The sequence below is a fragment of the Homo sapiens genome, chromosome 18 (assembly GCF_000001405.40).
Source record: "Homo sapiens chromosome 18, GRCh38.p14 Primary Assembly".
NCBI lineage: Eukaryota > Metazoa > Chordata > Mammalia > Primates > Hominidae > Homo > Homo sapiens.
In genome coordinates, this window is record NC_000018.10 from 64413961 (window position 1) to 64428087 (window position 14127).

The 14127-nt window shown below is 40.0% G+C and overlaps 1 long non-coding RNA gene across 1 annotated transcript in view, besides 1 other annotated feature; it reads left to right on the forward strand.

Annotated features, from left to right (window-relative positions):
* The window catches only part of LINC01924 (long intergenic non-protein coding RNA 1924), a 319511-nt gene extending 309870 nt beyond the window's left edge, over positions 1 to 9641 (forward strand). The window contains exons 8-10 of the long non-coding RNA NR_033881.1: positions 1972 to 2151; positions 8770 to 8844; positions 8972 to 9641. This is a non-coding gene — a long non-coding RNA (long intergenic non-protein coding RNA 1924). The remainder of the gene's footprint in view (positions 1 to 1971; positions 2152 to 8769; positions 8845 to 8971) is intronic.
* Positions 2909 to 3476: an enhancer, noted in NCBI's record as "OCT4-NANOG hESC enhancer chr18:62084104-62084671 (GRCh37/hg19 assembly coordinates)". NCBI's record gives its function as "activates a minimal SCP1, AML or CMV promoter by ChIP-STARR-seq in naive H9 embryonic stem cells {active_cell/tissue: H9 hESC(naive)}" and the evidence as "EXISTENCE:reporter gene assay evidence [ECO:0000049][PMID:30033119]".
* Positions 9642 to 14127: the final 4486 nt, after the last annotated feature.

The following is a 14127-nucleotide window of genomic DNA, read 5'->3' on the forward strand; positions in this document are numbered from 1 at the left end:
GGAAAGTAAACCATGTAATATTAAAAACCTTGTTTAACAAGCTTTTATGGTTTGTAGTGTTTGGCTCAACCCTTGCCTTGCATAGTCTTGGGTCTTGATTACAATTTTGTATCTCATATCGAGCCCCTAAAATCCTCAGGCATTTTTTTGATCAGTCTTTTTTTTTTTATAACCTATCATTTTATGGACATAAACTAGAACATAAGTTTAGTTTCCAGAAGTATCCCAGATCATTAAGGCGTGTTCAACATCAGTGTTTACATTTATTAGTAGGAGTATCAAGACTGCCACAAAGAGTCTATTTTGTGAGTCTTAAAATCTCTGTTTTAATATTAATGCTGGTCAGTTATGCTCAAACTCCAAAAGACAGAGTATAGTGAGGCGTGTCTGACCTGCCTGTCTGTCATGGCTGAGAATTAAGTTGTTTAGGTTTTTCGGGGGTCCCCTTGGCTGGGAGTAGATCTGGTCAGTCAGCTGTGGGGCCTAGGATTTTATTTTTCATTTGTAATTACTGTATTGGTAGGAGACTGACAAGAATGTGAAGAGCTCAGAAACTGATGAACTAAAATGACAGAAACAAAGACATTGAATAAATATGGCTAAACCTTGGGGCTAACTTTTCAATAAGCAAAGCCATCATACATGGAAATGGTTTTTATAATACAGTGGGTAGCCAATAGCTGGAAGGGTTTAGGTAGGGGCATTATTATGATTGTGGGAAGTGGAACTACAGAGAAAATTCTTTTAATCAGGTGGATAGATTAGTAAGATGACATTTTGAGATTCCTTTCAAGCCCAATATTATTTGATTTTAAAGCTGAGATCCTCACTACCTGGGGTAACAGTTAAGTCTCTTAGTGATTGGTGTCAGCGTGTGATTGAATGTAACATCCTCTCAGAGTCTTAATGGAGAACAGATTTAACCAGAGTTGGGGAGAGCTCAGTGGAGCTGGGGGATTACTCCACAGAGTAACCAAGATGAAGGTATCCATCAGAAGGAGGCCCTTCGTTCCTTAGAGAGGGGTGGTAAAAGTTGCTGAAAACTAACTTTGCCTAATTTGCTTGGGTGAGCCTTTGTTTTGTCCCAGTTACATTTAATTAGAATATCTAAATTAGTCATGGTGCTTGAGAAATCTCAGCTTTTGAAATATAATCGTTGGTAAGTGTTGTCTCTATACGCTATTTCCTATCTCCTAGTAGCCCTTTATTTTTTTCTCTTTGCTGAAAGAGAATCTGCTATTTTAGCAATTTGATGAGATTTTCAAATTTCAGAAGGTTATGGAAGTTCAGGAATCTGTAATTTAGATTGAGAAAGTGCAAGGAGAACAGGCAGTTGAGTTTTCTCACATTTAGGGTCAGTTCGCTTTATGGTGATTGCAAAATGAAGACTGGTTTTGAAGCAGCCACCAGGGCCCTCTGTGGAATTCTGAGTAGACCTCGTTCAATAAAAGCCAGCTAAGTCCATTGGGACTCTTAGGCAATCTATTATTTGTCCATAGATGAAAGTTGGTGGACAGTTAGCTGTGGACTAACTTTAAGGTGAGTCTACTCACATTTGAAAGGGAGTACTGGGCATATTTATTGAGCACCTATTATGATATTATGTGCTAGTTCAAAAAGACACTTTGGTGTGAAAGTTTCCTTATTAAAATTTTATTTGATTGTTAGTAGTGGTATTACATAACATAACATAAAATTTACCATCTTTAAATTTTTTAAGTGTACAGCTCAATATTGTTAAGTACATTTGCGTAGTTGTGTAACCAATTTCCGGAACTCTTTTCCATCTTGAAAAATGAATATTCTATAAGCATTAAACAGTAACTCCCAATTTCCTACCCCCGACCAGGCCCTAGCAAGCACCACTCTATTTTTTGTCTTTATGAATTTGTCTACTCTAAGTACTTCGTATGCATGGAATCATACAGTATTTGCCTTTTTGACTAGTTTCCCTTGGTGTCATGTCCTCAGGGTTCATCCATGTTGCTGCATGTGTCAGAATTTCTTTCCGTCTTCAGGCTGAATAGTACTCCGTTGTATGTATATACCACATTTGGTCTATTCATTTGTCTGTCGATGGACACGTAGACTGCTTCTTCCTTTTGGCAACTGTGATAACCCTGCTATGGACATGGATGTGCAAATAACAAGGTTAGTCTTAGACACACGTGGACAGAAAAGCTTATTGTGCAATTTCATAAAAAGAACATGAAAAGAACTTTCATGAAACACCACTGATGGGACTTTTCGTAAGATGTCTTATTTCACTCAATCCCCACCTCAACTTTAAGAGGTAGTGTGTTAGTCTTATGAGAGGAAGCAGTTTGTGTGTGTGTTTGTGTATGTGTGTGCACACGTGTGTTTTTTGGGGGAGTGATAAATAGTATCTTGAGTCACATTGCCTGGATTTCCATTTCATCTCCACTACTTACCATCTGTGTGAACTTAGGAAAATTACTTAACTTCTGTGTCTCAGTTTTCTCATGGGAATGATAACTGTTTAGAGTATTAAATCAGCTTATGCATGTAAATATTTCAAAACAGTATCTATACTAAGCACTCATTGATATTCATTATTATTATGAGATTTCCTTCCTTCTTGTCTTCCTTCCTCTTTCCCCCACTAATTCTCTCCCTCTCTCTTTTGCTTTTTTTCTTGTACAAGTGAAGAACTTGAAGCCTAAATGACATGGTTTGGTGAAGATCATGTAGTTATTGATTGACAAAACCAGGATTTGAATTAAGCTTTTATGAGTCTAATGAGAAAGCTCTTTCTGGAATTTCATTGCTCCTTCTCCTGGTTAACAAATAATAAAGCTCACTTTGAAATCCAAATTATTGCGTGTGGACTTAATTAATTGGTATGTTATTTAGTAAATGTTTATTGAGTATCTACTATGTGTCAGTCACTATGTTAAGTATAGGGAATGCCTTTGTAGACTAGGAAAAAGCAAGCGAATATCTTAAATAATAGGGTGTAAGAAAGAAAAATAAATCAAGTAAGAAGCAATTCCAGAAATATATGAGATTTAAAAGAGTTAAAAGCCCCTTATTATAGGGAAAGTCTTACTAAGTTTTAGGTAATTGTTATAAGAGCTGGTTTTCCTTGCATCACAAAAACACATCTGTGTATTTTGATCTTGTTTCCATTCTTACCACCTCCTCCCCTCAACTCAACACTACTTCAATGTTTGAAAGAAAATAATTTGCACAATCATTGCTTCTGGTTGCTCAGAGCTTTGTCTCATGGTGAGAGGTGATAAATGGAGAACAGTGAGAAGGAAAACAATTCTTTTCTAAACTTTGCTCTTCCCTTAACCCTTCAATGCCCAACGCTGCTTAATTCACCAACTAGCACCTACCCTACTAACTTAAATTCCCAGGGCAAATCCCCAAAGCCTCACTTTATTTGTATTTTCTTTACTAAGCAAGGAGCTTGCCAGCTTGAGGTGCCTGTGTGATATGTAAATGATACCCTGAATTGTTTTTTATATTCCACTTGGCACTGGAAAGGCAGTTTCAGGACTGTCATCTTTGCTGAAAGATATCAAACCTCATATGTCAAGGAAGATTCTCAATTTTAATTCCAAAAAGCTGGATATTTGCTTCCTAGCTCTGCTGATTTACATCAGTTTGTTTGATTTATCTGCAATGATGTAAAGGCCGCTGCTGCTTTTTTCACCTTACAGAATCTGAGGTTAATGAGTCTTCAAGGACATAAGTACTTGAAGATGTTCTGTGTGTAGTTGAAGCTGTGGAAGCTCAAGTGCATAGAACACTAATGTAGCAAATTTGGTGATGGGAACTTGGTGGGGACATGCCTGGTAAGGTAAAATGAAGAAGTTAACAGCTTCATCTCTCTTTTCTACTGAAGTCTGGAGGGAGAGCTCTGCTATACAGAACTCTAAATCAGAAAATGTCCTCCCTTGTGAAAAAGGGAACCCCAATCTGGGTTAGGGTCCCGAGAAATTCTCTTGCAGATGTGATTCCTGGGCTGTCTTAGCCTAGTTCCCATGCCTGGGACCCAATCGTGCTTTTTGGCCTTTGCAAACATGGAGTCCCACACTTTTTAGGAAGATGATCTTGGAAAAGGAAAGGCAGTCCAAGTTGGACCTGCTGCAGGAAGGCTATAATGACTCCCATCTCTCTTGAAACTCCCTATATGCATAGGCTACATATACATAGGCTAATCTTTCCAGATATAATAATTCCTCATGACAGGAATTCCTGGGCTACCTTAGCCTGGTTCCCATGCCCGGGACCCATTTGTGCTGGTTGGCCTTTGCAACCATGGAGTCCCACACTCTTTAGGAAGATGATCTTGGAAAAGGAAAGGCACTCCAAATTGGACCTGCTGCAGGAAGGCTGTAATGACTCCCATCGCTCTTGAAACTCCTTTTAGACTTCTCCTTTCCAAAGTGGGGCATGTGGTTGGTACCCAAATAACTTTCAATTCTCAATAAACTGGGCCTAAACAGTTGCATCTCCTACTAGGCCTTTTCCTTGTCTCAGAACTGCATCTGGCTTTTGCCTTTGCACCAGTCACTGAGGACTTATTTAACTACAACTTTGAGGTCATCAGACCAAGGGCAATGTTCTTTAAAGGCTTTCTTGAAAGTTCCTCTGAGGCTGCTGTGAAGAATCTCTTCTTGCAACACACATTGACCTATCTCGTCTGGCACATACATTATATGGGGAATACAGGCACTCTTTGTGTAGCTGTCTGGTGGTGTAAGGGCCTGTAGTGAAAACCTTCTAAATCCACTAAAATTAGGGGCAATGTCTTTACACCTCTAAGAGAGTTTCTTAGATGGAGAAGACAAACACTCATGATGTGGCATTAAGGCGACAAAATATGTAAAAGGTCTTGTATTAGTCTGTTCTCTCATTGCTACAAAGAAATACCTGAGACTGGGTAATTTATAATGAAAAGAGGTTTAATTGGCTTACGGTTCCTTAGGGTGTACAGGGAGCATGGCAGCATCTGCTTCTGGAGGGGCCTCAGGTAACTTTCACTCATGGCAGAAGGCAAAGTGGGAGAAGGTACCTTGCATGACAGGGGCAGGACCAAGAAAGAGGAGGCAGATGCTGCATACTTTTAAACAAACAGATCTTGTAAGAACTCTATCACTAGAACAGCACTAGGGAGATGGTACTAAACCATTAGAAGCCTCGCCCATGATCCAATCATCTCCCACCAGGCCCCACTTCCAGCATTGGGGATTACATTTCAACATGAGATTGGGGTGGGGACACAGATCCAACCCATATCAGGTCTCTAATATCAGAGAGACTAACATCTCGCATTGCAGGTGTCGTCCTTGCCTACCTCTAATTGTGTGAATCTTTCCTTAGAGCTGTTGGTGATGTTGCAAGACTGCTTGGGGATATTGCCACAGGGTCTTTCACCATGGTTAACTGTTTCCAATGGTGGCCTTGTACATGGATAGAACAGACAAGAGATCTTGGGGCAAATGTGGTGAACCACTTATCTCCAACACATATAAAAGATTATTTTCATAAATACCATATATTACATGTTGATAGCAGGCTTGTGGGTGCACATTGATTATATATACCCCCTCTGTGTCTCAGAAGATCCTTAAAATAAAAATTAGCAGGACTAACATTTTTTAAAAATTATATCATTCAAAACATTGGTAATTGAACAATTTTAAAACATTTTCTGAATTCTTCACAGATGAATGTGATTTCACTATAATTGTTGAGAAATATTGGTGAGAGGAACACTTATTTTTCTTCTAAGAGCCAAGAATTAGGACATAGATTTGGTATGTGTGTGTGTGTGTGTGTGTGTGTGTGTGTGTGTGGCATTTAGGTGTTTTTTGTTTGTTTTTTGAGATGGCATCTCACTCTGTTACCCAGGCTGGAGCATAGTGGCACAATCTCAGCTCCTCAGCTCACTGCACTTCCGCCTCCCAGGTTCAAGTGATTCTCCTGCCTCAGCCTCCCAAGTAGCTGGGATTACAGGCACCCGTCCCCACACCTGGCTAATTTTTGTATTTTTAGTAGAGATGGGGGTTTCACTATGTTGGCTAGGCTGGTGAACTCCTGACCTCAAGTGATCTACCTGCCTCGGCCTCTCAGAATGCTGGGATTACAGGCCTGAACCACTGTGCCTGGCTGGTATGTTGTTTTCAAAGTTAGGAACAAATGCTAGGTGGGAGTATAGTCCAACTGAATTTAATATATATAGACGTGCTCTAGAATTGATGGTCACTCTGGTCTTCTTGCATTGGTATCCGGACATACAAAAATAAAACTCTTCAATCTGGAAAACAGAATATTTATAGCTATAGTTGCATCCAGAGGGGCTGCTGCTGTTTAAGATTTTAGCCTCAAATTCAAAGTTAATATGAAGTCATTTCAAAAAAAGAACTGCTGTGAAGATCCGCTGCACTCCCAGGTGGTCATTTCTAAAAAGCCAGCAGCAATACTGCTTTAAGACTGTGCTTCAGGAACTCATGAGTTATTTCTTCCCTCCCCTGCTGGTGGAGGCTGTAGAATGCCCAGTGGGTCCTCTGTTTGGACAGCGGAGAATGGTTGCTCTGAAAAGAGCTATGAGAGCCACATGCACTCCTGGGCTGGGGTTGGTCACCGGGAATCACTGTCCAGAGTTTAGTGCCATTTGTAGGCAACACCAGGAAATCAAGAACACATAGTTGTTCCTTATGGGGTTTATCCTCTGTGGTTTATTTAACTACATCATAGATAAATAGCTGGATAGATACACACACAAAACACACACACATACATATGTATGTATATACATGATTTAGTCAAAAACATAATATGTAGTTGAGCTAAATTATATAATTATATATAACATATATAATGATTTTGTATATATTATATATTATTTAAAATGATTGTACACATATTATTTTTCAGCTTGACCATTATAGAGACCCAAACTGAACTCAGTGCTTTATCAGTTGTCTGACCAATGACCAATACTTTCTTTCAAAGCAGTACTTCTGTTGTTGCAGCCAAGCCTCATATTTGTTTAAAAATAATAGTACCATATTACTGATGCCAACTGGGATTCTATATGAGTTCTGGGTCTTATACAATATATTCACAATTTTACACCATCCTTAGGATTCTCTGATATAAATATCTTACTCTTTCTTTGACAAACACTTCGTATATAGCAAACAATTTGTACATATAACTTGACAAGTTAACACTTAAGGAGCCAAAGAGTAAGGATTCACTTGGCTTAGCCTGCCTGATGTCCAGTTGTAAGTTATACCTTCTAATTTCCCTGATTTATCACCAAGGTAATCAGCAAATGTCTACCACCATAACAAAGTGTTAGCCTCATGCTGTCAACTACCTAGAGCAATAAAGGAAGGACTGAGATCATTTATTGAGAAAGCAGGTATCAGATGGAGCTGGAGTAACTAAAAAAGTTCATGACAAGCAAGCCCCAGGTGATCAGAAGGGGTGAAGCTTCTGAGCAAATTTGATAGAGAAAAATGAGAGTATTCACTCAGTAAGCCTTGCACCCAAATGGCCTTTGCGAACTCCCAGAAACTTTACAGTTAGGACTGAATTTATTGCTATAAGCATAGAAGGTGGTGTGAATGATATTATTTGCATATTTAAAAAGGATAAAGCCAGAAACCTGTAACCTTTGTCATAGATATTTGGTTTATGAGGTGACGTGGCTGGAATAAGATGCTGGACACTCACTGGCTTTATCTAAAGATTATATGGCCAGTGACTTGGCAAGAAAAGTAAAAACATACCTATAGCAGATGTTAAAAAAAACTCAAATGCCTGCAGTGGCCAGCAGGCCATATAAGTGTATAAACTGAATCAGGTCTATAAAAAGCAACAGCAGAAGCTTGATAATAAATGGATGCTGGCCTCAGCCTCAGTAGGAAGGTGGTAGTAGCTAGTATTGAGGACCCCCTGGAGTGCACAGCCCTCCTCCTCCTTCTAAAGGGGCAGCTTCTCCAACAGAGTGGTCCCTTGCGGGAAAGAAAACCTGTCATGGCTAGCCATTTAAACTTTTCAGTTGAGCCAAAAATCCAGATTTTTATGTGATTTATCAATAATTATCAGTTGTTGTCAACTGATTTAATTTTAAAAAAGAGAGAAAAAAGAAAAAAACAGTTAAAAAAAAAAAAAAAGCTATGAAAAATATGCCCCATGGGAAGAGCATATAACTCTTCGGTCATTTGCACTTGGCTTCCGGGGATCCAGATTGCCCTCTCGATCAGAGCGAGCACACGTGCATCCTCCAGGCCCAGGTAAGGCTGAGTGAGAAGAACTAGAGAGCCAAACAGTGGCAAGATGTGGCTGGGTATTTGAAGGAGAATTAATAGGCATTGGAATTGAACATTGCCCCTATATAATTTTCTTTAGATCTAGCCCAGATGGCTATAGATTACTATATTAATAAACTAAATAAACCATGAAAGTCAATCATTTCCAACCATCTACACTGCCACTTAAATGCTCAAGGAGAAAACAAATTTTGAGCTGGGAGTAAAGGTGAGTGATCACTTACTGGGTATGAACACCTTCATTCCTTTTATCAGAGCATTTGTCTAGCAATAAAGAGAATGCTTTTCCTTTTTTTTTTAAGTTTAGGGGTACATATGTAGGGTTGTTGTATATGTAAAGTTGTGTCATGGGGTTATGTTGTATAGATTGTTTTGTCACCCAGGTGTTAAGCCTAGTACCCATTACTTATTTTTCCTGATCCTCTCCTTCCTCCCACCCTCCACTCTCCAGTAGCCCCTGTGTCTGCTGTTCTCCTCTATGTGTTCTTGTGAAGAGAATGCTTCTCTAGCACGAGTTCAATATGATGTAAGTTCTGCTGCCCATTATTGATAAAACTATTTTTCTTTAAAGAGTATCCAGAGATACCTTTTGGTTTAATTTGTCTCTCTTGTATCTTGCTTTTCTCTCTAACTCTGGCTACCCTCACTTCAAGCTGGGAATTTGAACTGGATCGGCTAAATACTTTATCAGTAGGAAGAAAACTCTCTTTACAGACTGAAAATCATTCTGCACAGAAGCACATATGCGCATACTCACACACACACAGATGCCTTCAAGTGAGGATGCCTGAAGTAATTAAAGGTAATGTGTATCAAGCGTTAATTACAAAATCACTGTGCTCTTCTGAATTGTACACAATTATCAGAGAAGCAGCACAAATATCATCATGCCACAAGGCTGCATTTCCTACCATGAGCTTTAACAATTTATTTTCAGAACTTCACTTATCCATTAGTTATGCATGCATCTCTACACATTCCCTATATGCCTGGATTATTAGGTATACGCCATATCATGAAGGCTGTGAAAGTGATTACAAGAAAGTCAAAGATACCCAGATAGGATCTTTCCTCAGAACCATTTACTTATGCACATTCACCCACATTTGTAAACATAATATTGCAGCAAAAGGCTTGGGCTCCAGTCATTCAGAGTAGCCACACTGCCCAGGAATATATAACTTTATGTACTTTTTTTTTTTATCATGGAACATAAGGGACTATTCATTCTGTAAATCCAGATCTTGTAATTTCAGTGTCTGATATAAGTCAGACTACTGGAAAGAAAGAAATTTAATTAAAATTAGAAAGGAAAAAAAAAAACCTTTTATGATTCTTCCAGTCCTACATTTTTTATTATCAGATGCTTTGGCACTGTTTGTTCCAGGTGCTAGAAGGATGAGTGACACTGACAATCTGAAACATTTGTTAGTGAATTGATAGATGTTTGAAGTACATCTCCATTGCTGAAGAAAGGATCCTGAATCTGGGATCTCAACCTAAAATGGATACACCTTCCTGGCCTCTATCTAAACTTTCAGGGCTGTTTCACAGGGAACTAAATAATAAATATTTAATAAATGATTGTGTTTGGCATAACTGGATTGAGTGTCCTCAAAGAAAACTAATATTTTAGGATCTAGGAAATATACAACAGCAGAAATGGAAATAGAAAATACTACATATAATTTAAAAAGACAAGAATATTTGAGGTTTTGAATGGCTCTTGGATACTTGTCATCTGACCTAAAGCTTCCACATAATTATTGTTAGGTATTCATTGCAACAGATTTCACATGTACAAAACATCTTTATAGGTAAATACAAAAAAGTGAAACTCAGTGTTTACTGGTATTCCACCCCAGTGGCTCTCAAACTGTATGTGCATCAGAATCATCTGAAAGCCTTATTTAAGCACCACTAATCTTTGGGTTCTACCTCCACAATTTCTGATTCAATAGGTCTGGGGTGGCATAGAGAATTTCAATTTTGGGGGGAGGTTCCAAGATAGCCAAATAGGAACAGCTCCAGACTACAGCTCCCAGGGTGAGTAACGCAGAAGATGGGTGATTTCTGCATTTCCAACTGAGGTAACAGGTTCATCTCACTGGGTCTTGTCAGACAGTGGGTGCAGGAGAGTGGGTGCAGCCCACAGACTATGAGCCGAAGCAGGGCGAGGCATCGCCTCACCTGGGAAGCGCAAGGGGTCAGGGAATTCCCTTTCCTAGCCAAGGGAAGCTGTGACAGACGGCACCTGGAAAATTGGGTCACTCCAACCCTGATACTGCACTTTTCCAAGAGTCTTAGCAAAGGGCACACCAGGAGGTTATATCCCGCACCTGGCTCGGAGGGTCCCATGCCCACAGAGCCTTGCTCACTGCTAGCACAGCAGTCTGAGATCGAACTGCAAGGTGGCAGTGGGGCTGGGGGAGGGGCACCCACCATTGCTGAGGCTTGAGTAGGTAAACAAAGTGGCTGGGAAGCTCGAACTGGGTGGAGTCCACCGCAGCTCAAGGAGGCCTGCCTGCCTCTGTAGACTCCACCTCTGGGGGCAGGGCATAGCTGAACAAAAGGCAGCAGAAACTTTTGCAGACTTAAACATCCCTGTCTGACAGCTTTGAAGAGAGTACTGGTTCTCCCAGCATGGAGTTTGAGATCTGAGAACGGACAGACTGCCTCCTCAAGTGGGTCCCTGACCGCCGAGTAGACTGACTGGGAGGCACCTCCCAGTAGGGGCCAACTGACACATCATACGGCCAGGTACCCCTCTGAGACGAAGCTTCCAGAGGAACGACCAGGAAGCAACATTTGCCATTCTGCAATATTTGCGGTTCTGCAGCCTCTGCAGGTGATACCCAGGCAAACAGGGCCTGGAGTGGACCTCCAGCAAACTCCAACAGACCTGCAGGTGAGGGTCCTGACTATTAGAAGGAAAACTAAGAAACAGAAAAGACATCCACACCAAAACCCCATCTGTACGTCACCATCATCAAAGACCAAAGGTAGATAAAACCACAAAGATGGGGAGAAACCAGAGCAGAAAAGCTGAAAATTCTAAAAATCAGAGCATCTCTTCTCCTCCAAAGGAACGCAGCTTCTTGCCAGCAACGGAATAAAGCTGGACGGAGAATGACTTTGACGAGTTGAGAGAAGAAGGCTTCAGAAGATTGGCAATAACAAACTTCTCCGAGCTAAAGGAGGATGTTTAAACCCATCGCAAAGAAGCTAAAAACCTTAAAAAAAGATTGGATGAATGGCTAACTAGAATCAACAGCATAGAGAAGACATTAAATTACCTGATGGAGCTGAAAACCATGCCACGAGAACTATGTGACGCATGCAGAAGCTTCAGTTAGCCGATTCGATCAACTGGAAGAAAGGGAATCAGTGATTGAAGATCAAGTGAATGAAATGCAGCGAGAAGAGAAGTTTAGAGAAAAAAGAGTAAAAAGAAATAAAGCCTTCAAGAAATATGGGACTATGTGAAAAGACCAAATCTACGTCTGACTGGTGTACCTGAAAGTGATGGGGAGAATGGAATCAAGTTGGAAAACACTCTGCAGGGTATTATCCAGGAGAACTTCCCCAACCTAGCAAGGCAGGCCAACATTCAAATTTAGGAAATACAGAGAACACCACAAAGATACTCCTCGAGAAGAGCAACTCCAAGACACATAATTGTCAGATTCACCAAAGTTGAAATGAAGGAAAAAATGTTAAGGGTCGCCAGAGAGAAAGGTTGGGTTACCCACAAAGGGAAGCCCATCAGACTAACAGCAGATCTCTTGGCAGAAACTCTACAAGTCAGAAGAGAGTGGGGGCCAATATTCAACATTCTTAAAGAAAAGAATTTTCAACCCAGAATTTCATATCAAGCCAAACTAAGCTTCATAAGTGAAGGAGACATAAAATCCTTTACAGACAAGCAAATGCTGAGAGGTTGTGTCACCACCAGGCCTGTCTCAAAAGAGCTCCTGAAGGAAGCACTAAACATGGAAAGGAATGACTGATACCAGCCACTGCAAAAACATGCCAAATTGTAAAGACCATTGATGCTAAGAAGAAACTGCATCAACTAATGAGCAAAATAACCAGCTAACATCATAATGACAGGATCAAATTCACACGTAACAATATTAACCTTAAATGTAAATGGGCTAAATGCTCCTATTAAAAGACACAGAGTGGCAAATTGGTTAAAGAGTCAAGACCCATTAGTGTGCTGTATTCAGGAGACCCATCTCCCGTGCAGAGACACACATAGGTTCAAAATAAAGGGATGGAGGAAGACCTACCGAGCAAATGGAAAACAAAAAAAAGCAGGGGTTGCAATCCTAGTCTCTGATGAAACAGACTTTAAACCAACAAATATCAAAAGAGACAAAGAAGGCCACTACATAATGATAAAGGGATCAATTCAACAAGAAGAGCTAACTATCCTAAATATATATGCACCCGATACAGGAGCACCCAGATTCATAAAGCAAGTCCTTAGAGGCCTACAAAGAGACTTAGACTCCCACACAATAATAATGGGAGACTTTAACACCCCACTGTCAACATTACACAGATCCATGAGACAGAGTTAACAAGGATATCCAGGAATTGAACTCAGTTCTGCACCAAGTGGACCTAATAGACATCTACAAAACTCTCCACCCCAAATCAACAGAATATATATACTTCTCAGCACCACATCACACTTATTCCAAAATTGACCACATAGCTGGAAGTAAAGCTCTCCTCAGCAAATGTAACAAACAGAAATTATAACAAACTGTCTCTCAGACCACAGTGCAATCATACTAGAACTCAGGATTAAGAAACTCACTCAAAACTGCTCTACTACATGGAAACTGAACAACCTGCTCCTGAGTGACTACTGGGTACATAATGAAATGAAGGCAGAAATAAAGATGTTCTTTCAAAGCAATGAGAACAAAGACTCAACATACCAGAATCTCTGGCACACATTTAAAGCAGGGTGTAGAGGGAAATTTAGAGCACTAAATGCCCAGAAGAGAAAGCAGGAAAGATCTGAAATTGACACTCTAACATCACAATTAGAAGAACTAGAGAAGCAAGAGCAAACACATTCAAAAGCTAGCAGAAGGCAAGAAATAAATAAGATCAGAGCAGAACTGAAGGAGATAGAGACTCTTCAAAACTCTTCAAAAAATCAATAAATCCAGGAGCTGTTTTTTTGAAAAGATCAACAAAATTGATAGACTGCTAGCAAGACTAATAAAGAAGAAAAGAGAGAAGAATCAAATAGACGCAATAAAAAATGATAAAGGGGATATCACCACCGATCCCACAGAAATACAAACTACCATCAGAGAATATTATAAACACCTCTACGCAAATAAACTAGAAAATCTAGAAGAAATGGATAAATACCTCGACGCATACACCCTCCCAAGACTAAACCAGAAAGAAGTTGAATCCCTGAATAGACCAATAACAGGCACTGAAATTTAGGCAATAATTAAGAGCCTACCAAAAAAAGTCCAGGACCAGACGGATTCATAGTCAAATTCTACCAGAGGTACAAAGAGGAGCTGGTACCATTCCTTCTGAAACTATTCCAATCAATAGAAAAAGAGGGAATCATCCCTAACTCATTTTATGAGGCCAGCATCGTCCTGATACCAAAGCCTGGCAGAGACACAACAAAAAAAGAGAATTTTAGACCAATAACCCTGATGAACATCAATGCAAACATCCTCAATAAAATACTGGCAAACCGAATCCAGCTGCACATCAAAAAGCTTATCCACCATGATCAAGTGGGCTTCATCCGTGGGAT